Below are 24,443 nucleotides of genomic sequence, written 5' to 3' on the forward strand. Positions count from 1 at the left end.
ATAACTCCTCCCCGATTTCCCCATTCATAGCGTCTTGCATTAATGTAGTATATTTATTATGATTGATGAGCCAGTATTGATACATACTCATTAACAAAGTCTGTAGTTTACACTAGTATTTACTTTTTGTGTTGTACATTTTTATTTTATACATTTTTTTGAAACAGGGTCTTGCTCTGTTGCCCTGGCTGGAGTGCAGTGGTGTGATTAGAGCTCACTGTAACCTCTAAAGGCTGGACTCAAGCAGTCCTCCCACCTCAGTCTCCCAAAGTGCTGGGATTACAGGCGTGAGCCACTGTGACTGGCCTTCTATGGGTTTTGACTGTAAAGTCAAACCATTACAATGTAATATACACCATTAAAATGTATCCACCATTGCAATGTAATACAGAAGAGTTTCATCTAAAGTCCTCTGTGCTCTGCCTATCCATCCCTCCCAGTACCCCCAAACCTCTGATAACCACTGATGTTTTTACTGTCTCCATATCTTTGCCTTTTGCAGAATGTCATGTAGTAGACATTCTGTCTACTTTACTGTCTCCGTAGCTTTGCCTTTTGCAGAATGTCATATAGTAGAAATCACGTAGTATGTCGGCTTTTCACTTGGGCTTCTTTTACTTAGTAATATACGTTTAAGACTCTTCATGTTTTTTTCATGACCTGATAGTTCTTTTTAGCACTGAGTAATATTTCATTGTCTGGATGTACCACAGTTTATTTATCCATTCACCTACTGAAGGGCATCTTGGTTGCTTCCAAATTTTGGCAATTATGAATAAAGCTGCTATAAACATCCATGTGCAAGTTTTTCTGTGTAGACATGTTTTCAGCTCCTTTGGGTAGATACCAAGGAGTATAATGATTGCTGGATCATTTGGTAAGAGTGTGTTTAGTTTTGGGTTTTTTTTCTTTTTTTTCAACAGGGTCTGGCTCTGTTGCCCGGGCTGGAGTGCAGTGGCGTGATCTCAGCTCACTGCAACCTCCACCTCCTGGGGTCAAGCCAGCGTCCCACCCCAGCCTCCTAAGTAAGTAGCTGAGACTCTGCCACCGTGCTCAGCTAATTTTTGTATTTTTTGTAGAGATGGGGTTTTGCCACATTGCCCAGGCTGGTCTTGAACTCCTGAGCTCAAGCAATCCACCTGCCTCAGCTTCCCAAAGTGCTAGGATTACAGGCTGGGCGCCACCATGCCCAGCCTGTGTGGTTTTATAAGAAACCACCAAACTGTCTTCCATAGTGGCTGTACCATTTTGCATCCCCACCAGCAATGAATGAGAGTTCGTGTTGCTCTACATCCTTGTCAGCATTTGGTGTTGTCTGTGTTCTGGATTTTGGCCTTACATAATAGGAGCTCATTGTTGTTTTAATTTGCATTTCCCTGATGAAATATAATGTGGAACATCTTTTCATGTACTTATTTGCTATCCGTATATCTTCTTTAGTGAAGTGTTTGTTTAGTTATTTGGCCCAATTTATAATTGGGTTGTTTTCTTATTGTTGAGTTCTTTGCATACTTTGGATAACAGTCCTTTAACAGAACATATTTTGAAAATATTTTCTCCCAGTCTGTGGCTTGTCTTTTTTACTTTCTTAACAGTGTCTTTTGCACAGCAGAAGTTTTTAATTTTAATGAAGTCCAACTTAACAATTTTTTCTTCATGGATCGTGTGCTTGGTGTTGCATCTAAAAGTTTATTACCAAACTGAAGGCCATCTAGATTTTCTCCTGTTACCTTCTAGGAGATTCATGAGTTTGCATTTTACATTTAGGTCTATGATTTAAAGTTGTTTTTTGTGAAATGAGTAAGATCTGTGTTGATTCATTTTCTTTTTCTTTTTTTGCATTTGGATGTCTGTTAGAGCACCATTTGTTGATCAGACTGTTTTGTCTCCGTTGTATTGCTTTTGTTCCTTTTTCTAAGATTGGTTGACTGTATTTGTGTGGGCCTGTTTCTGGCTCTGTATTCTGTCCCATTAATCTGTCCCATTAAAGTACATTCTTTCACGAACACCACACTGTCTTGATTACTGTAGCTTCATAGGAGGCCTCAAAGTCATGGAGTGTCAGTCCTCTGACTTTGTTTTTCTCCATCACTATTGTGTTGGCTATTATGGGTCCTTTACTTCTCCATGTAAACTTCAGAATCAATTTGTCAATATCCACAAAATAACTTGCTGGGGTTTTTGTTGTTGTTGTTGTTGTTTTTTGTTTGTTTTGAGACAGGGTCTCACTCTGTCACCCAGGCTGGAGTGCAGTGGTGTGATCTCGGCTCACTGCAACCTCTACCTCCTGGGTTCAAGCGATCCTCCCACCTCAGCCTCCCGAGTAGCTGGGACTACAGGCCATGCACCAACATGCCTGGCTAATTTTTTTTTTTTTTTTTTTTTTTGGTAGGGAGAGGGTTTCACCATGTTGCCCAGGCTGGTCTCAAACTCCTGGACTCAAGTGATCTGCCCACCTCGGCCTCTCAAAATGTTGGGATTACAGGTGTGAGCCACTGTGCCTGGCCTGGGATATTGATTAGGATTGTGCTAAATGTGTAGATCAAATTGGGAAGAACTGGCATCTTGTCAATACTTACTCTGCCTATCCATGAACATGGAATATCTCTCCATTTATTTAATTCTTTGATCTACATATTTTGTTATATTTATATCTAATTATTTTATTTTGAATGTAAATGATACCATGTTTTTAATTTCAAATTCCAAGTGTTCATTTCTGATAAATAAGAAAGCAATTGACTTTTGTATATCAATCTTGTATTCCTGCATCCTTGCTATATAATTGCTTATTAATCAGACCATAGCAGCATGTAATGGAGAGAGAGAAAGGGAAAGAGATGAGAGAGAGAGAGGGAAAGAGATGAGAGAGAGAGAGAGAGAGAGAGGGAAAGAGATGAGAGAGAGACGGAGGGAGATGAGAGAGAGAGAGAGAAGGAAAGGAGGAAGGAAAGAAAGGAAAGGAAAGGAAGGAAGAAAGATGTATTATTAATCCAGGAGTTCTTTTTTGGTCTTGTCTTACCTTATTGTATTAGCTAGAACTTCCAGGACAGTGTTGGAAAACTGGTGAGAGGGACATCCTTGCCTTTTTCCTGATCTCAGTGGGAAAGCTTCAAGTAATCCTGTAATCCTAGCTACTCGGGAGGCTAAGGTGAGAGGATTGCTTGAGCCTAGGAGTTTGAGTCTGCAGTGGGCTGTGATTGCGCCACTGTACTCTAGCCTGGGCAATAGATTGAGACACTGTCTCATAATAATAATAATTATTATTTTTGTACATCGTTGGTTTTTGGGAGAATTTTTGCATGAGAAATATTGATTGGTAGTTTTTTTTTTTTTTCTTGTAATGTGTTTGGTTTTAGTATTAGGGTAATTCTGGCCTCACAGAATGAGTAAGGAAGTATTCCCTCTGCTTCTATCATCTGAAAGAGACTGTAGAAAGTTGATATAATTTATCCCTTTAATGTTGGTGGAATTCACCAGTGGGTTCTGTCTGAGCCTGGTGCTTTATATTTTGGAAGGTTATTAATTATTCAATTTCTTTAATAGTTATAGACCTAGTCAGATTTCTGTTTCTTCTTGTGTGAGTTTTGACAGAGTATATCTTTTGAGGAATTGGTCTGTTTTGTCTAGGCTATTGAATTTGTGGGCATAGTGTTGTTTCATCCTTTTACTTTTAATCTGTGTCTTTATATTTTAAGTTGGTTTCTGTTAGACAACATAGTTGGTCCTTGTTTTTTTAAATTTTATTTATTTGTTTTTTAATCCACTCTAACAGTGTCTGCTTTTTAGTTGTTATATTTAGGACCATTGATATTTAAAGTGGTTATTTGTGTAGTTGGATTAATATATACCGTATTTGTTACTGTTTCCTGTTTATTGCTCCTGTTATTTGTTTTGTTTTTTTCTTTTTGTCTAATCTTTTTTATGCCTTCTCTGGCTTTAATTGAGCATTCGATGTGATCCCATTTTTTTCTCCTCTCAGCATATCAATAACGCTTTTTTAAAAAACTTTTTTTTAGTGGTTGTTTTAAAATGTGCGATATACGTTTATGACTAATCCAAGTCCTCTTTCAAATACTTAGCACTCTATGGGTAGAGCAAGAAATAGTATTCCTAATTGTTCCCTCCCATACCTTGAAATATTATTGTTATTCACTTACTCATAAACTGTAGTCATGAAGTAGTCATGAAGTACATTGTTGCTATTATTATTGGTGAACAAACTTGTCTGCTAGATCAAGAATAAGAAAAAAGTTTTTATTTTATCCTCACTTGTTACTTCCCTAATACTCTCCCTTTCTTTCTACAGATTCTAATTTCTGATCTATATCATTTTCCTTCTCTCTGAAGTTCTTTTAACATTTCTTGCAAGGCAGATTTACTGGTGACAAATTTTCTGAACTGTTGTTTGTCTGATAGACTTTATTTCTCCTTCACTTTTGACGGATAATTTTGCTGGATACAGAATTCTAGGTTGGTTTTTTTTTTTTTCTTTCAACACTTTGAATGTTTTACTCCCCACTCTTCTTGCTTGCATGACTTCTGAGGAGAAGTCCAAGCGCAATTCTGTCCTTGCTTCTCTGTAGGTAAGGTGTTTTTAGCCCATTCCCTGACATTTTTCTTTTTTATTTTCTTATTTTTTTTCGAGATGGAGTCTTGCTTTGTCACCCAGTCTAGAGTGCAGTGGTACAATCTTAGCTCACTGCAACCTCCTGGGTTGAGGCAATTCTCCTGCCTCAGCCTCCCAAGTAGCTGGGATTACAGGCATGTGCCACCACAGCCAACTAATTTTTGCATTTTTAGTAGAGATGGGGTTTCACCACGTTGGCGAGGTTGGTCTTGAACTCTTGACCTCGTGATCTGCCTGCCTTGGCCTCCCAAAGTGCTAGAATTACAGGTGTGAGCCACCGCGCCTGACCTCCCTGACTTTTTTCAAGATATTCTTTTTGTGTTTGATTTTTTTTTGCGGTTTGAATGTGATATGCCTAGGTGTAGATTTTTTTTTGCGGGGAGGCTTATATCCTGCTTGGTATCTTTTGAGCTTCCTGGATCTGTGGTTTGCTTGCTGTTATTAATTTTGGAAAATCCTCAGCTGTTATTATTTCAGATATATCCTCTATTCCTTTCTCTTTTTCTTCTCCTTCTGGTATTCCTATTACATGTTGTTACACCTTTTGTAATTAACCCATAGTTCTTGAATATTGTTTTGTCATTTTTGTTCCTTTTTGTCTTTATGCCTCAGTTTGGGAAGTTTCTATTGGCATATCTTCAGGCTCTCTGATTCTTTCCTTGGCTGGGTCCGGTCTATTGATGAGCCCTTCAGAGGCATTCTTCAGTTCTATTACAGTGTTTTTTATTTCTAGCATTTCCTTTTGATTCTTTCTTAGTGTCTCAATCTCTCAGCTTACATCACCTATCCTTGCAGGCTTTATTACAGACTTTAGCATATTAATAATAAATTTGTGATCTGATCATTGCAACATCAGTGCCATCTCTGGGTCTAGTTCTCATGTTTGCTTTGTCTTTTCAGACTGTGTAGGTTGTTTTTTGTTTTGTTTTGTTTTATTTTGCTTTTATTGTACTTTATAATGTTTTGTAGTAAAAAAAAATTGGAAAACAAAAAGACTGTTCCCTTATACACTACCATCCAGAGGAGGTCACCTGGAGTATCTGTATATGCTTGCCCCCCTGCTTCCTATTTGGAGAAATGTGACTTCTGGGGCCTCTTTTGTTTTGGTCTGTACATTTCCCTAGGATGGTCTTAGAGAAGACTTCTCCCTGTGCATTGGGCCTCCTGCAGCAGTGCCAGGCAGTGATTGTTGAAGGATTGAAAGTGCTGTGGCAAACTCAGTCTCCACTCCTGGCTTTCGTGTCCTTGTTTCACAGATCAGAAGATTGGGCAGGATGGGCTTCTGTTCAGTCTTCTTTCGGATACTGTGATAGCCTCAAGTTCTTGCCTGCTTCTAGCAACTTTCTCTGGAAGTTCTGTACATGTCATCCCTTTTTTTGACTTGCATTCTATACAGATTTATTTTTGAGAGTCAGAAGAGTATTCTTGGCTGGGTGCGGTGGCTCAACGCCTGTAATCCCAGCACTTTGGGAGGCTGAGGTGGGTGGATCACCTGAGGTCAGGAGTTCACGACCAGCCTGACCGACATGGTGAAACCCCATATCTACTAAAAATACAAAACTAGACAGGCGTGGTGGTGTGTGCCTGTAATCCCAGCTACTCAGGAGCCTGAGGCAGAAGAATTGCTTGAACCCAGGAGGTGGACATTGCAGTGAGCCGAGATCATGCCATTGCACTCCAGCCTGGGCAACAAGAGCAAAACTCTGTCTCAAAAAAAAAAAAAGAGTATTCTTTTTAAAGTCAGTTATAAAATTTTAAATTAAAATAGCTCTGATTTGAATCAAAGCAGTTTGTTTGGATTAAAAATATTCCTTTTATTTTTTAATACAGGGTCTTGCTCTGTCACCCAGGATGGAGTGCAGTGGTGTGGTCATAGCTCACTGTAGCTTCGAACTCCTGGGCTCAAGCAACCCTCCCACCTCAGCCTCCAGAGTAGCTAGGACTACAGGTGTATGCTACTATGCCTGGCGCTTTTTTATTTTTATTTTTTGTGGAGATGGGGTCTTGCAATGTTGCCCATGCTGGTCCTGAACTCCTGGACTCAAGCCATCTTCCAGCCTCAGCTTCCTGAAGTGCTGGGATTATAGGCATGAGCCACTGTGCCTCACCAGGATTAAAAATATTCTTTAAAGTCCTTGATGGGTAGCAATATATATACATAGGAAAATATTCAATAATAAAAAATTTGTCTCCAGTGAGAAGCTTGCCCTCTCTCCCTGCTGAGCACAGCCACCAAAGTGTGGCCTCTCCAGAGATGGCCACTGCAATCAAGGGCCTGTGTGTCTTTCCTGAACATTCTGATTACAGAGGGGCATATTTATGGATTTCCTTCAATCTTCCACACACAAAAAAGGTGTGTCTCTATACTCTTCTGCAACTTGTGCTCTTTGCTGAACAATATACATCCTGGAAATTGTTCCAGATCAGCAAATACAGGATTTGTACTTATTGGCACTTCAGAATATTCCTCTCAGTCTCCCAAGAATGGACACTTAGCTTGGCTCTAATCTTGCTGCTGCAGTGAATACACATGATCCACGTATCTATGGGGAGAGGACATGTAACAGGTGTCTGTGTCTAAAATACCAACAGCTCCTACCCAAGAAGTTTTTACTAATGTGTGTGTTTTGCCAAGAATATGGGAGAATGCTTGTTGGTCTGTGGCAGCAGGAACATGTGAGGCACACCCTAAAGGTCACCCACCTTTGACCTTTGCCAGCCTGATAGGTGAGAAATCTTATTGCAGTTGCAAGTTCCATTTCTTACTACAAGTGACATTGCACAGCTTCTCATATGGTAAAAAGCAGTTTGTGTGGCCTTTTATATAAACTGTTTACTTAAAGTCACAAAATCACTAGTCAGGCAGATACGTTTTCATTTTGTGATTTGGAAAATGAATTTTTGTATTGTATACTACATCCTTCACATGCATTTCAGAAGTAGATGGAGGTTTCCTTTAGGTACATATGACTCATTTGCAAGCAAGCATTTATTTTGAGTCTTGATGTTTTTCAGAATAATAGGAATCTATGGTATTGTCCTGAATTGTTTTGATTTTTGTATCCACAAGGTTGGCTGCAGCAGACTCTTGCAGGGCCCCGGGAGGGGTGTCCCCCACCCACCAGTGTCTCTGTGGGGTTGTGAGAAGGGCCGGTTCTCCTCTGAGGCCCATGCCATAACCAGCCCTGACATGCTCTTGTTTGCTCACAGATGGGGGACTTCTCTCTAATTGCACCCTTCACGTGGAGCGATGGTGCTGATGGGAACTCCAGGGCTTCCTCACTTCCTCTGTAAGCGAGCACAGCTGGTGCCAGGCCCCTAGGCTTCCTGGTCACAGAGCTTTAGCTGTCTGGGGCTATTGAGATGTGCCTGGCAAAGCACTTTGTCTGAGAGCTGAGTAACCAGGGCTTGTCCAGGGTAAGTGACTTACCTCCACAGTTCAGGTGGCTCTGCTCTGTATGTGATTCCCATCAGTCGTGTTTGGGGTTTTCTTTGAGCAAATATATTCTAGAAATGTAGTTGAGAAGTGAATTCCCTGAGAAGCGGGTTCAAGGCAGCACCTCAGCATAGACTCTGTGGCCGCATGCAAAGATGCCTGCAGGAAGGCAGCTCTGGGACTTTAGCCACACATTTGGGCTGCTCCTCTAGATGGGATTCTGTGGTCCCTGTAACAGAAGTTATAGCCCCGATGGGTCATGGGGAACCCTGGGTAATTAGTGATGGGACACTTAGGGTTGGCCAAGGGCCCTAAAACAGGCTCTGCTGCAGTGGTGCCCAGGCCTGGCTTGTCTTTAGGAACAGGTTCTGACTCAGTAGGTCCCGGTGGAGATTGGGGTTCTTCTGATTTTCTTTTTCTTTTTTTTTTTTTTTTTGAGACAGAGTCTCACCCTGTATCCCAGACTGGAGTGCAGTAGAGCAATCATAACTCACTGCAGCCTCAAACTCCTGGGCTCAAGCAAGGAACTCCTTGATCCTCCTGCCTCAGCCTCCTGAGTAGCTGGGATTTACAGGCATGTGCTACCATGGCTGGCTAATTTTTATATTTTTTGTAGAGAGAGTCTTATTGTGTTGCCAAGACTGGTTTCAAACTCCTAGGCTCAAGTATCAAGGATACCACCTCAGCATCCCAGAGCACTGAGATTACAGGCATGAGCCACCACACCTGGCCCGCATTGTCAGACCAGAAGTCTCTATGGGTTGTCAGCTCCTGGGCTGGCCCCTCTCCTCCTGGCTGCCGGGTGGACCTGGTGCTGCTGCCTCTACACATCCCTTTCTTGCTGTTTAATCCTCTCAAGTGCCTGTGGAGTAGGTGGTGCATTGTCCCCTCTCTGGATGAAGGAAGGCACTGAGTTACCTGCCCCAAGGCTGCCAACGGGAGAGGCACAAGGTGTCAGGACTTGCCCTCTACCTTAGACCATGGCCACCTCCCTCTAGAGTGAGTGACTTTGGCTTACAGGGTGGTCACCCACTTGTTTTGTGGATTGTGACAAATTGAGAAGTTAAAGCAGCACAGGCTCTTTAAGTAGCACAGGGTGGACCTCACTTCCTCACCCAGGAGCAGGGCATTTTCCAGATTCCTGGAGCAGTGTCCCTGGGGCAGACATAGAGGGTGGTGAGGCTCCCCTCCTGCCTACTGGCCCAGCTTCATTTCCCTCTTGGCTTCTATACCCCAGTGACTTCTGTTTCCCCTGTGGCTTCTGTTCCCAGCTAGCTTCTGTTCCCTCTGGCTGCCCCTCCTGCTGAAGAGAAGCACAGAGAAGTGCAAATGAAGGCATCATGGCTTGGGAGGAAGAAACTTTGGGTGAAGTGGGGGCACAGCCCAGCTGGACAGAGGCTGCCCAGCCCCTCCATCCTTTCTTTAAAGACAGGAAGGGGCTGAGCTGGGGTCTCTTCAGCTCGCAGTCCTGGAGGAATGGACATAGCACACTTGGGAAGAGAAATGAAATGTCAACATTCTTTCCACGGAGATTCTGTTTTTTCTGTCCATGGAGTGTTGCACTTTCTCAGCTACTCCCTGCCAGAAATGAAAGCTAGGGTCATGGTCCATTAGCCCAGCAAAAAAAAGTGATGATGGTGGTGGCGAGGATGATGATGGTAATGATAGTGATGGTGGTGGTAATGACGATGGTGGTGATGGTGATAGTAATGATGATGGTGATGATGGTGACAGTGATGGTGATGGTGATGGTAATGATGGTGATGATGGTGATAGTAATGGTGATGGTGATGATGGCAATGGTGATGATGATGGTAGTGATGATAGTGATGACGGTAATGGTGATGATGATGATGGTGATGATGATAGTAATGATGGTGATGGTGATGATGGTGATAGTGATGATGATGGCGATGATGGTGACAGTGATGGTGGTGATGGTAGTGATGGTGATGGTAATAAAGATGGTGATGGTGATGGCGATGATGATGGTGATGGTGATAGTAATGGTGATGATGATGGTGATGGTGATAGTAATGGTGATGGCGATGGTGATGATGATGGTGATGGTGATGGTGATAGTAATGGTGATGGTGATGGTGTTGATGGTGATGGTGATGATTGGTGATGGTGATGATAGTAATGATGGTGATGGTGATGATGTGTGATAGTGATAGTGATGATGGTGATGGTGATGATAGCAATGATGGTGATGGTGATGATGGTGATAGTAATGATGGTGACAGTGATGATGATGACGATGATGATGGTGATGATAACTATGACAAGCAGTAAACTATCTTTACAGCCACCAGCTATGTGCCAGGCACTGTGGTAGGCATGGTACATACAATCCCTCCAGTATTTCTGTCACTGACCTTCTACTAGATATGATGATCCACTCTGCAGAGAAGGAGTCTGAGACTCACTGACGTTGAGTACCTCTTGTGGTCCCACAATTGTTGGTGGCAATCATTGCCCAGGGTTTCTGCATGCACTGGGTGTCACAGGCTGCAGGTGATGCCTCATGTGCTGTGCTGGGAGCCCTGCCCTTGTCATCCTGTTAGCTCCTTGACACTTGACCTCTTCCCTCCTCCCCACAGGTTCCTTATGAGACACCTGGGGGACTCCAAACAGCAGTAATCCATCTGCCCACTGGTTTGGAGACAGGGGTCCTCAGCCTCCTTCCAGGGTGGATGGTTCAGGAGGCCTTCTCTGCAGGGGACCAGGACACAGGAAAGCCAGGAAGAGATGAGCTGGGAAGGGAGCTGTCGGGGGCCATTCTGGTTTTAAAAATAAAGCAGGACTTTTGTTGCTTGTTATAAAAGGAATACATGCTCATTTTCTGTGATTTAGGAAACCGCAGGAAAGTATAAGGGAAGAAAGACATGGCCATTGCCTAGCACCAGGGAAAAGGGCTGTAGTTTTTAGTGTCTGCCTAGACTCTAAACTTCTAAACTAAAAGACTTGTACAACCCATTGTTTAATGGCTGTGTAATACTCCCATCACAGGAGCACATCATGCCCTGGTTACCTGACCCTTACTGGCTGGAGATGTGTGTTGTTCCTAATTTTTGCTATTTTAAATAACCGTGGGAGAAACCACATTAACATGAATCTTTGTGTGCATATGTACATTTTGCCTTAAAATAGATTTGTCGATGTGGAATTCTGGCCTGAAGGGTGCAAATCTTTTTAAAGCTTTTGATACATACAGCTGGGGTTCAGGAAACTCCTTCCCAAGTTAGTCCCCTGACTAGAAGGGTAAGAGTGCCTGCCCTGCAGCCCCACCTGCATTGTGGATTTGTATTATCAAAAGATAAGCCTTGCCAGAGGGACATTTCTAGCTTGAATGTGTGCCTGACACCAACTGAGCTCCGACAGTGTGCCTTGAACCCTGTGCCAGATGCTGCAGAGGGCGGCAAAGTAAGGTGAAGGCTCTGCCTGTCTGCCTCACCTCTGGGAGTGAAAGAGGCCACTTCTTTTTTTTATTTGATGTTTCTCCTATAATTTTTTTTTTTTTTCTGAAACAGAGTTTCGCTCTGTTGCCCATGCTGGAGCTGGAGTGCAATGGCTCAATCTCGGCTCACCGCAACCTCCGCCTCCTGGGTTCAAGTGATTTCTCCTGCTGCAGCATCCCAAGTAGTTGGGATTATAGGCGTGTGCCACTACACCTGGCTGATTTTGCATTTTTAGTAGAGACGGGGTTTCTCCATGTTGGCCAGGCTAGTCTTGAACTCCTGACCTCAGGTGATCCACCCACCTCGGCCTCCCAAAGTACTGGGATTACAGGTATGAGCCACTGCACCCAGCCAATTTTTTTTTTAAATGTCAAAATTAGGTTCAAAAATTATGGTTTACATTAAATGAATGTTCTTAACTACAACAGAAGAAACCAGGAATGCAATCCGGTTGTGCTGTTCGGGAGATCATTCCAGGCTTGGCATGGTCTGGAGGGTGGCATGGTCGGAGGGTGTCTGAGCCAGGGGCCAGGGCCAGGTGTCGGTCATTCCTGGCTGGGCTTCTGTGCTGGACCCTCCAGCTCCCCTGAAGGCAACCCCTAGCCCACTCAAGTCCTCATAGGAGGCTGCACCCTGTAGCCTGCAGCAGGGCCGCAGCTCCATGAGCAGGGCTAGCAAGCACTGGCATGCTTGGGGTCAGAATTCCATATCACCCGTGAGAAAGCCACTGTGTCCTGTCTGCAGAACAAGGATTCCTATGGGAAGAGCTCAGAAGAGTCGCTTCCCCTCTGGGGCTGCCCTTGCCTGAGGATCTTAGGCAGCCAGAGAAGCACCTGGGAGAGAACTCAGGTTTTGCGGGGAGCAGGCTACTTTCTTAGAGAGTAGACAGGCTTCTTTAGAGATCCCAAGAGGCAATTGTGGGGCCTCTGGAAGCATCTGAATTCTACACTCCCCGCCCCCGAAGCCTTTCAGCTTTCTTTTTCTTGGCCGTTTCCTGTGGTGTCTTTATTAGTTAGGGTTCTCTAGAGGGACAGAACTAATAGATATGTATATGTTTATTAAGTGTTAACTCACACGATCACAAGGTCCCACAATAGGCCATCTGCAAGCTGAGGAGCAAGGAAAGCCATCCGAGTCCTAAAACTGAAGAATGTGGAGTCCAGTGTTCGAGGGCAGGAAGGATCCAGCACGGGAGAAAGATGTAGGCTGGGAGGCTAGGCCAAGTCTAGTCTTTTCAGGTTTGTCTCCCTGCTTTATATTCCAGCCACACACTGGCAGCTGATTAGATGGTGCCCACACAGATTAAGGGTGGGTCTGCCTTTCCCAGCCCACTGACTCAAATGTTAATCTCCTTTGGCAACATCCTCACAGACACATCCAGGATCAATACTTTGCATCCTTCAGTCCAATCAAGTTGACAGTCAGTCACTGCAGTGTCTCATCACTGCCACACCCACTCACCTCTGTGTTTGAAATTTCTATTATCTTTCTAGTTATTGGGCTTTGGGCACTAAATTAGCTTTAAACTTCTTTGGAGTTGACTCAGTTTGGGGAAGCTGGGGTCACAGTTGGCTCAGATGAATCCAGTAGCCAGCATGGCCTCATCTGGTTGGCAAGTGAGCTAATGCAGCTGTTGCACCTGTGCCACTTGAACACACAGCCCTCCACCCCATTCTCACCACTGGGGCCCCCCAGGGGCAAGGTGAGTGTGGTGGACTGAACCACGCACACATGACACACTCGTGGGCAGACGCATAGACAGATGCACACAGACATGGACACGCATACGCATGCATACACATGGCAATGTACGTCTGCCTGCATACACGTGCACACACAAACGGGCATACAAGCACACACACACAGTGCACACATATACACATGGGTGCACATACATGCATGTGCATAGATATGGACATAGAAACACATGCACATACGCACACATATTTTGTTTTGGGTTTTCCACCAAAAGGAATTGTACCATACGCATTCTTCTAAAACATGATGTTCTTCACTTAACAATATATTTTTGGTGTCTTACCATGTCAGTATGTAAAGATCTACTTTATTTTTAAAAATTGTAATATTAATAGCATCCTGGTCACACAGCACTCTGCGCTTGCACACCTGTGTGTATGTGTGTGTGTATGCCTGTGTTTGTGTGTCTGCATGTGTTTGTGTTTGTATCTGTGTATTTCTGTGTATGAGGGTGTCTGCATGTGTGATGTGTGTGGTGTGTGTGTGTGCCTGTGTGTGGTGTTCGTGTGTCTCTGTGTTTGCATATGTTTGTGTGTGTGTGTATGTGCGTCTGCATGTGTGGTGTGTGAGTTTGTATGTGTGCTAAGCCAGGTCCCAGGCCTCACTCTAGTGCTTGTTCACTTCCCTGTGGGTCTGATCCTCTTCCAGCTGCTCACAGGCAGCTGCCTGTCCTTGCCCACCATGTGGTACACTGGGGGTCTGCAGACCTCGCTTGCCTGTGCAGAGGTGGATCACCCCCAGGCCTCACTGGCTCAGGCGGATGTTCTCCGCTTCTCCTTTGTAGCTCTGAGGCCTGGGTCTGTCCTTGGTCCTTGCCCTACCCTTTCCCTCAGTGTGCCTTTACGAGACCCCTGCCCAGCCATCTCCTGGCTCCTGGGAGGTCACAAGCTGAGACACAGACCCTTGGGCCTGTGAGTGGGTGGAAACACTGCTCTCGTTGGAGCCCATCTCTTAGGGACCAGGCGACTTGATCCTCACTGGCCGAGGAGGACTTGCTCAGAGGGCCTGATTCGGCGTCCTGGGCTGGCATCCTGGGCTGGCACTTTGCTCCGCTGACCTTGCCTGTACGAGGCTGAGCATTCCAAGTGTCCTCAGGGTGGAGGGTGGAGGCCAAGAAGGCGACTCGTGGGGTGGTGGATGCGGGCCTTCACCAGGCTGGTGCTCAGATGGCCCCCAGTGGCCTGTGCTCCACGCCTGCTGGTAGCCCCTGGTGGCCTGTGCTCCACGCCTGCTGGTGGTTCCTGGTGGCCTGTGTGCCATGCCTGCTGGTGGCTTCCGGTAGCCCGTGCTCCATACCTGCTGGTGGCACCCCGTGGCCCGTGCTCTATGCCTGCTACCCAGCCCTGGTGGGCCTGTTGCGGCCCCTGAAGTTTGCACTTCGGCCAACAAGCTTCTGTTGTCGCAGGAAGAAACTCAGGGGGTGCTGCTCTTAGCCAGGGTTAAAAAGGGAAAGGGGCCGGCCAACTTTGCCTTTTTGTTGATGTTCTGTTTAATACTAAGGTCCTGGGGTGACATTTGTGCCCCTGGTGGCCTCTGAGGTCTGTGTGTGGCCAGGCACCGCCTCTCTCAGCTCCTGGGTTTTCTCCTGGTCTGGTCTGCCCTGAGTTTTTGGAGAAGCAGAAGCCCTGCTTAGCACAGCCTTAGAAGGCGTCCCTGGGCTTCAGCTCAGCCAAATGCCCTGCTCTCCCTCGGACTCTGCAGTCCTGGCTCACCTGACCACAAGCAGCCTGTGACCTGCTCTTTCTGCAGATGTGGGTGGGCTCCCGGGACAGACCTGCAGGGCCCAGCCTGGGAGTGTACAAGGCTAGGTGGCCAGCGGCCTGCAGAGGGCTCCAGCTCCTGTTCCCAGGAGGGAGAGGCCCACCTTCTGTCTTCTGAAAGGTCTGAGTCTGGGGCCCTGGTTCTGTGAGGACCGTCCTCACCCACTTCCCCACATCTGGGTCCTCATGGAGCCTCTGTCTGTGTCCTGGGATGCATCCCCACGCTGGGGCAGGGGCAGCAGGTGAGGCACGAGGGCCTGTCTGCAGGACATAGGTGGACGAGTGGGCCTGGCTGGGGGATCCTTTGTGAGCTCAGCTCCTGTGAGCCAGCACTGTCCCCATGGGCGACAACCTTTGAAGTCAGCAAGATGTGGCTGCTTGCCTCTCAGGTGGCCCACGATGGGCTTCCTGCAGAGGGCAGAGTGGACACAGGCCACAAGCACGTGGATATCTGGGAATTGCCCACTCTGCATTAGTGAGGGGTTGAGGTTGGTTTTTTGTTAATGAGAAGCTTGTGCTTGTTTTTGTCTCTGAAATAATGAAGTCATCTGCTAACATGGCCTTGGGATGCTGTAACTGTTTTGGTGTTACCTAGTCTCCTTCAGATTCTCAGTATCTTATGCTCCTGGCTTTAGTGTGAGGAAAATATTTTCCATTTTTCTGTAGTTATTATTCTCCTCTTATTTTTCGTTTTGCCAATTTTCTGAATAATTTCTTAGGGGGCATTTAGAAAGCCCTAATTCTGGTACAATAAAATAAATGCCCAGTGTCGGCAAACAGTCTCTTCTGTGAGAACAGGATGGCCCCTAATGGAGCTCACTGTGCTGGAGCTTGCACAATCGAAGCCCTGGATCCTCGTTAGGTGCTGTCTCCTTGGCATATAGCCACAGCTAGTGGCAGAGCCAGGCTGAATGCCCTGAGACTTAGTTTCACCTGCCAAGTGGCCACTGTCGGGGTTGGTGGCACAGGCAGCAGGGGTTGGAGCAGCAATGCAGATGTAGGGTCGGTGCTAGCAGGGGATCTGGCCTGGATCCCTGTGGAGGGTCTACTTCCTTCAGCCTTGGAGGGGCAGGAGGGGCAGCCCAGTGGTCACCCCCCACAACCCTGGTGGGCGGGCCCTGGATGCAGCCCCTGCCTCTGGCCCAGGCACCTAGGTGGTGAGGGGGTGCTGAGGCCTTTGGTTCTCTGAGCTTCTTTTGGGCGGCAGAAGGACCCTTCCACCATGACCACCTCTCTTTTCTCTCAGTCTCTTGGGGTCTCCTGCACAAAGCAGTAAATGACTGACCAAGGCAGCTGTCCTGGCCAAGGTGAGGCCTTTCACCTGTGCCACCCAGTTCATCCTCCCAGCAGATGGCCCAGGGGTGGGTGGTGCTGGAAGGAGGAAGCCCACAAGGGGCCCCTCCTTGTGCAAGTGGATTGGCTGTGCCAGGGCAGAGCGTCCTAAAGTGGACACTGGCCCAGAGCCTGGAGCCACACAGGTGGGCACGTTATGGAGGGCGGGGCCAGGTGTGAGGACTGGATCCCCACCTGACCTTTGTGCCTCTGAGTCCTTGTGCTGGCCGTGCACGTTCTTGTGACCCCTGAGCCTCGGCCTTCCCCCCTGTAAAGTAGGCTTGTGCTGTCTGCCCCCAGGATCCAGGACCCCGTGCCAATATCCAGAGCTGAGGAGCCTGATTCTTGGTGGGGAGGTGTATTTTAAGGACATGTTGATTTCCATCCTTGTTGACTGACTGCAGCTCTAACTCCCATGTGGCCTTTGGACAGGGCAGTTCCCTCTGCACCCTTAGAGCCGAGGTCTGGAGAGCCCTTCAGCTCCTGTGGTGCACCAACCCCTGGACTATTAAAAGGATGTTGTTCATTGGGGACGTGCCCAACCACCTGGGGCATTTGGGGGCCTTTCCATGCACCAAGGTGGTCCAAGCTGTGGGTGCAGCTCCTAGCCATGGCTTGTCCTTCCTGTGCTGAGTCACTGGCTCACCATGGCTGTTGTCACCTTGTCCCTGCTATATCACAGGGAGGGGTGAGGCCTGGGTGGCCAGAGGGATGGAGTTTGAGGAGACTAGGACTTCCTTACATTCACAGGCACTGCTGGGGCCTCATGTGGGCTTCAGTTTGGGCTTGGGGTCTGGTCAAGGCCCAGCCAGCCTGTCCATACACCGAGCCTGAGGTCACCCTGAGGTGTGTTTCTTAGCTCGGTCGGCAGAATAACAGCCCCCGCTGTCACCCATGTCCTAATCCTGCAACTTTAAGTAGCATTGCAAGAGGGGAGGAAGGGAAGCTGTGGATGGAGTTGGGGCTGTTCAGCCAGCTGTGGATGGGGAGACTGTCCTGGATGACCCAGCAGCTGCAGCGTCATCACAGTGGTCCTTAGGAGGGGAGGAGGGTTGAGTCAGGGCAACGTCTGTGAGAGCTCGGCTGGCCATCACTGGCTTTGAACATGGAAGGGGCCGGGAGCCAGGGAGTGCAGATGGCCTCTAGGAACTGGAGGAGGTGGGAACAAATTCTCCCTAGAGCTTCCAGAGGGAGCTGCCCTTGCCCACACCTTGATTTTAGCCCGGTGAGACCCATTTGGACTTCTGACCTCCAGCCTGGAGAGTGAATCCTTCAGGGGGCTCCTGTCCAAAGGCCCTGTGAGGATCCTGGTGTCTCTAGCCCCTCACGCCAAGTCTTGTCCCCAGAACAGGCATGTTCCAGGGAGTGCTGGCCCTGCTAACTGAGCCCCGAGTCTGTCTGTCTGTTCTACTCTGAGTTTGGTGGTCTGACCTCTGACCTTCTGCCTGAGGGTCAGCACCAACCCATAAAGGCCTGACAGGCAGGTGTGTGTGATGGGCCATGTGTGTGCAAGGGCCCTGCTGGGATGGTGGCAGAATCAGGTCAGGTTGGTGTAGCCTGTCCTGTGCCTTCATCTGCTCCAGATGCTGCAGTGAGGGCACAGCCTGGAGCAGCCAGGGGCCAGGTGAGGGTGTGGACATGGGGCATGGGTGTGACTGTGTATGTGGGCATGGACATGGAGTGTGGTTGTGGCTGTGGATGTGGATTTGGGGTCTCACATGGATGTAGGGTCTGATGTGCAATGTGGATTCTGGGTCTAATTTCTGGGCTGCAAGAGCTCAACCAGCTCCAGGGCAATATATTATAACATGTATGCTTGAAGTGAGTAATGATGGTGCTGAAGGGACTGTCTTCAGCTCCCAGTTCATCTGGTCCCACAAAAGTCTTTGCATGTGGCTGATACTTGGTGTCACTGATGAGAACCTGAGGTATATGTGGCACTGTAGTGAGTGCACGTGACGTTTTCTAGCCCTGTCCTGCCCTCCTCTGTGCTGAGCTCTTCTTCACATGCCATAGTGCTATGCCCTGGTCCTGTTCCTGGCTTTGGGCCTTTGCTTCTATTGGGCAGACACCCTTATAAACTTCATGAAGGAAGAATATTAACACTGTGCATTTTAAAGTTTGTTTTGGTATTTTGGAGCATAATTTTCATTCATCAATGTTCTGAGTTTCCTTTCCAATTTTTCTTTGTTTCATTATGAAGATGCTCTCACTTTGCACCCTGAGAGCAGAAAAATATTCCCTCATGTTGTGCTTTTGATGGCTTTTCTTTTACACTTGACTCTTTGGAGTGTGTGGACTTGACTTTAGCTTGTATTCTAAGATAGAGTGAACTTTATATTTTCAAAAACAATTTGCCAAGATCTTTTTCTGGGCTTCATGCTCTGTTCCCAGAACTCAAGACTGTGGTGGCTGTGGAACAGAACACTCGTCTAGGGCCCAAGACCCTGGTGGCCTTGCAGGGTTAGTCTGATACACTGGGCACTAGCAGTAACAGCTCACTGTCTAACGAGTGTTCACTCCGGGCCAGGCCCACCCATCTCTTTGCCTGGCTTCCTTTGCATGTGTAAATGCCCCAAGGGCAAGGGCAGTACTATCCTTAGTGAATGAATAAGGAGACTATTCTGTGTCTGGGCAGGCACTTAACCTCTCATACCTACCTCAATTTCCCTATTGTGGTAAATAAGGCTAATAATAAGAATTCCCATTATTGCAGGGTTGTTGGAAAATAATGCTCTTAGAGTTCTTAGCATGCTGCGTGTCTCAGAGTGAGTGCTCAGCCAGAGTTAGTGATGATGGAGTTTGTGATGGTGTTGATGGTGATGGTGATGGTGAAGGTGATGGTGATGATAATCTTGGTGAGGATGATGATGGTGATTGAGATGATAATGATGGTGTAGCATTGTTGGTGATGGTGATGAAAATGATGGTGATGAGGGTGGAGGTGATGATGATAATGATGGTGTGGCAATGTTGGTAATGGTGGTGGTGGTGATTATAGTGGTTGAGATGATGATGGTGTGGCGGTGATGGTGATGGTGGTGATGGTGATGACAACGGTGATGGTGGTGGTGATGATGATAGTGGTTGAAATGATAATGATGATAATGATGGTGTGGCGATGTTGGTGATGACAACGGTCGTTGTGATGATGATAGTGGTTGAGATGATGATGATAATGATGGTGTGGCAATGTTGGTGATGGTGTTGGTGGTGATGGTGATGATGATGATGGTGGTGGCGATGGTGGTAGAGGTGATGATGATGATGGTGTGTTGGTGATAGTGATGGTAATGATAATGATGATGGTGGTTGAGGTGATGATGATAATGATGGTGTGGCAGTGCTGGTGATGGTGATGGTGATGATGATGGTGATGATGATGATGGTGGTGGTGATGATAGTGGTTGAAGTGATGATGATAATGATGGTGTGGCAATGTTGGTGATGGTGATGGTGGTGATGGAGATGATGTTGTCACTCTCACAGGGCCAGGTTCTTTTTTTCTCTTTTATTGAGTTAAAATTCACATAGCATAATATTAATTGTTTTAAAATGAACAATTCAGTGGTACTTAGTAAATTCACAATGCTATGCAACCATTGCCTCTATCTAGCTTCAAAATATTTTAATTTCCAAAGGAAACTCCACACCCACTAAACAGTAACTCCTCATTCCTCTCTCCTCCCACCCTCTGGCACCACTAGTCAGCTTTCTGTCTCCATGGATATACCTATTGTAAACATATTATCATTTCATGTGAGTGGAATCATACAGCATTAGTCCTCATGTGTCATGCTTCTTTCATTTAGTATAATGCCTTCAAGATTCATCCACATTGTAGGATGTATCAGGACCTCATTCCTTTTTAAGGCTGAATAATATTCCATTGTATATACAGACTACATTTTGTTTATCCATTCATCTGTCAGTGGACATTCGGGCAATTTCCACTTTTTGGTTATTGTGAATAATACTGTTAGGAACATTTATGTACAAGGATTTGTTTGAGTACCTTTTTTTTTTTTTTTTTTTTTTTTTTGGAGACAGAGTCTTGCTTCATTGGCCAGGCTTGAGTGCAGTGGCACAGTCTCGGCTCACTGCAACCTCTGCTTCCTGGGTTCAAGTGATTCTCATGCCTCAGCCTCCTGAGTAGCTAGGGCCACAGGTATGTGTCACCATGCCCAGCTAATTTTTGTATTTTTGGTGGAGCCAGGGTTTTGCCATGTTGGTCAGGCTGGTCTCAAACTCCTGACTTCAAGTGGTCTGCCCACCTTGGCCTCCCAAAGTACTGGGATTACAGGCATGAGTCACAATACACAGTACCTATTCTTAATTCTTTTGGGTATGTATCTGTCAGTGGAATTGCTGGGTCACATTGTAATTCTATGTTTAATTTTCTGAGGAAACATCAAATTTTTCCCCACAGTGCTTGCGTTTCTACCATTGATGTAAGAGGGTTATGATTTCTCCACATCCTCTCCAAAACTTACTTTAAAAAAAAAATTGGCCGGGCGCGGTGGCTCATGCCTATAATCCCAGCACTTCGGGAGGCCAAGGTGGGTGGATCATCTGAGGTAAGGAGTTTGAGACCAGCCTGACCAACAAGGTGAAACCCCATCTCTACTGAAAATACAAAAATTAGCCAGGCGTGATGGCAGGCACCTGTAGTCCCAGCTACTCGGGAGGCTGAGACAGGGGAACTGCTTGAATCTGGGAGGCAGAGGTTGCAGTGAGCTGAGATCATGCCACTGCATTCCAACCTGGGTGATGGGAGCAAGACTCCATCTCAAAAACAACAAAAAAAATTGTAGCCATCCTAGTGGGTGTGAAGTGATATCTTACTGTAGTTTTGATTTTAATTTCCTTAATGACTGAGAATGTTGAGCTTCTTTTCATGTGCTTGTTGTCCATTTGCATATTTCTTTGAAGAAATGTCTGTTCAAAGTCCTTTACCTGTTTATTAATCGGATTGTTTGTCTTTTTATTGTTGAACTGTAATAGTTCTTTATATGTTGTGGATGCCATACCCTTGTCTTATTTATGGTTTGCAAGTACTTTCTCCTTTAATGTCACTTGCCTTCTTACTCTGTTGATAGTGTCCTTTAAGGCAAAAAAGTTTTTAATTTTGATGGAATCCAAATTAGCAATTTTTTCTTTTGTTGTTCATGCTTTTGGTGTCATATCTAGGAATCTATTGTCAAATTCAGTGTCATGAAGATTTACTCCTATGTTTTCTTCTAAAAGGTTTATAATTTTAGCTCATATTTAGGTTGCCAATCCATTTCTAGTTAATTTTTGTATGTGGTGTGAGGTAGACATCCAACTTCATTCCTTTGCATGTGGATGTCCACTTGCCTTAGCACCATTTGTTGAAGAGATTATTCCTTCTCCATTGCATGGTCTAGGAACCCTTGTCAAAAATCAGTTGGCTGTTGATGTATGGGTTTATTTCTGAGGTTTTAGTTCTATTCCATTGATCTATATGTCTATCCTTATGCCAGTGCCACACTGTTTTATCATAGCTTTGTAGTAAGTTTTAAATCAGGAAGTGTAAGTTTTCTTAGCTTTTCCATTTCTGTAAACAAAGTTGTTGGGATTTTGATAGGGATTGCATTGAATCTGTAGATTCCTTTAGGTAGTATTGCCGTCTTAACACTATTAAGTCTTGCAGTTCATCCACATGGAATATATTTCCATTTCTTTGTATCCTTTAAGACCTCTTTCAGCAGTATACAAGTCTTGCATCTCCTAGGTTAAATTTATTCCTACATATTAATATTTTGTTATTTTTGATGGTATTATAATGGTAATTGCTTTCTTGATTTTATTTTCAGATTATTCATTGCTAGTGTGTAGAAATCCAACTGGTTTTTGTGTGTTGTTTTTGCACCTACACCTTCTGAATTTATTTGTTAGGTATAGAAAGTTTTTCTGTGTATGGATTCCTTTAGAGTTTTCTATATGTAGGATTATGTCATATGCAAATAAAGGTAATTTTATATCTTCCTTTCCAATTCAGACTCCTTTTATTTCAGGATTTTTTTTTTTTTTTTGTCTAATTGCTCTGGCTAGAACTTCCAGTACTGTGTTAAACAGAAGTGGCAACAATAGGCATCCTATTTTCCTCCTCATCTTATGGGAAAAGCTTTCAGTCTTTCACCATTGTATACAATGTTTGCTGTGGATTTTTCATCCATGGCTTTCATCATGTTGAAGAAGTTCCCCTCTATTCCTAGTTTGTAGAGTATTTTTATCATGAAAGGATTTTGTTGAGTGCTTTTTCTGTATCAATTGAGATGGTCACGTAGGATTTTTCATCATTGTGTTAATATGGTGTAATGTGTCTTGGGGAGGATGGGGAATTGGGGAAGGATTGGGAGAGATGGGAACATAAGAATGAGGCAGAGGGCTGTGCCAGCTCAGGAGAAAGAGCCAGGTGAGCCCTGCTGCTTCTTGTATTTTACCCACTTGGGGAGATCTGTCCTCCAGGGTGAAGGAAAGAGAAGCACAGCTTCTGCTGTCCCATCCTCCAGGACAGAGCCCCAGGATTGCATCTTTTTCTTCTTGCAGTCAGACTTGATGCTTTAGGTGTTGAAGCACTGATTTATTTTCATGTACTGAACCGTCCTTGCATTCCTGTGATAAATCCCACTTGGTCATGGTGCACCGTCCCCTTAATATGCTCCTAGACTTTATTTACTGGTGTTTTGTTGAGGATTTTTACATCAATATTCATTAGAGATACTGGTCTGTAGTTTTCTTATAGTGTCTCTGTCTGGCTTTGGGCTCAGGGTAATGCTTAGGAAATGTTCCCCCCTCTTCTATTTTCTGAAAAAGTTTAAGAAGGATTGGTGTTATTCTTCTTTAAATGTTTGATAGAATTCACTAGTGATGGTTTCTGGGATTTTCTTTTTGGGGGAGGTTTTTTGATTACTGATTTAATCTTTTTACTTGTTACAGGTCTGTTCAAATGTTCTGTTTCTTTTTGAGTCAGTTTTGGCAGTTTGTGTGCTTCTGAGCATTTCTCCATTTCATCCAGGTTATGTAATTTATTGACCTATAATTTTTCATAGTATTCTGTTATAATCCTTTTTTATTTCCTTAAGGTCAACAGTGTCTTTATGTTCATTTTTTTGTTTGCCCTGAGTAAAAACAGTCTGCTTCATGCACATCTATAGCTTCCATTCCAGGTAGCTTGCTGCCCTGACCCCCTGCTGTGGCGACATTCTGGGGCTACCTGGGGGGAATGTCCCTTTTTAAATTTACTGGTCAGTTTTATTTACATGCATTTGCTCACTAGAGGAAGATGTTGAAGTATTTTCCAGTTTGTTTGCTGCATTCTTCTTGTGGGAGTTGTCTGGACCTGTGCCCTGCCCATTATCCACTGTGTTCTTATTTAGTCTTGGGGGCTTCTTTACATGTTACAGATGCCCATTCTCACGTCACTTTTTTTTTGTTTGAGATGGAGTCTCATTCTGTTGCCCAGGCTGGAGTGCAGTGGTGCAATCTCGGCTCACTGCAACCTCTGCCTTCCAGGCTCAAACAATACTCCCACCTCAGCCTCCCGAATAGCTGGGATTACAGGTGTGTGCCACTGTGCTCCGGCTAATTTTTTTTGTATTTTTATTACAGACAGGGTTTCACCATGTTGGCCAGGCTGATCTCGAACTCCTGACCTCAAGTGATCCGCCCACCTCGGCCTCTCAAAGTGCTGGGATTACAGACATGAGCCACCGTGCCTGGCCTCATGTCACTTTTAACTAAAAAAAGTATCAGAATAAAACAAAGCATTTCCATTTTGCTGGGTTAGCTTCTGTAGAAGTTTATTGATGTCTTAGGTTGTGTCCTTTGATACTCTTTGTGTTCATTCCTCAAATGGCTTAAGGCCTGTAGCCCGACCATCTGCATAGGAGGTGGCTCTCTCTTGTTCTAAGTCTCCAAGCAGGTTTGCAAGGGGTCTGGAGGAACTCCAGGGAGGGAATGAGGAAAGAGTGGTCATGATGTCTGGAGTCCTGGACATGTCCTAAGGCCAGGCTGGTAGGCCTCTTCTTGGCCCCCATGAG

The 24,443-nt window shown here is 45.5% G+C and overlaps 1 protein-coding gene across 5 annotated transcripts in view, besides 1 other annotated feature; it reads left to right on the plus strand.

Moving 5' to 3' along the window:
• The window catches only part of PHF2 (PHD finger protein 2), a 103,004-nt gene that overhangs the window by 28,492 nt on the left and 50,069 nt on the right, over positions 1-24,443 (plus strand). The window contains exon 1 of one of the 5 annotated variants that reach the window (XM_047423474.1): positions 15,430-15,533. The exons of the other annotated variants lie outside the window; for them this stretch is intronic. Within the exon in view, the coding sequence (XP_047279430.1) occupies positions 15,445-15,533 (89 nt within the window). The 5' untranslated portion in view covers positions 15,430-15,444. Of the gene's footprint in view, positions 1-15,429; positions 15,534-24,443 lie in introns of those variants that run through there. 5 annotated transcript variants of the gene reach the window in all.
• Positions 7,655-7,704: an enhancer, noted in NCBI's record as "active region_28626". NCBI's record gives its function as "activates an Ori minimal core promoter by ATAC-STARR-seq in GM12878 lymphoblastoid cells {active_cell/tissue: GM12878}" and the evidence as "EXISTENCE:reporter gene assay evidence [ECO:0000049][PMID:35858748]".

Source organism: Homo sapiens, chromosome 9, assembly GCF_000001405.40.
Source record: "Homo sapiens chromosome 9, GRCh38.p14 Primary Assembly".
Classification (NCBI taxonomy): Eukaryota; Metazoa; Chordata; class Mammalia; order Primates; family Hominidae; genus Homo; species Homo sapiens.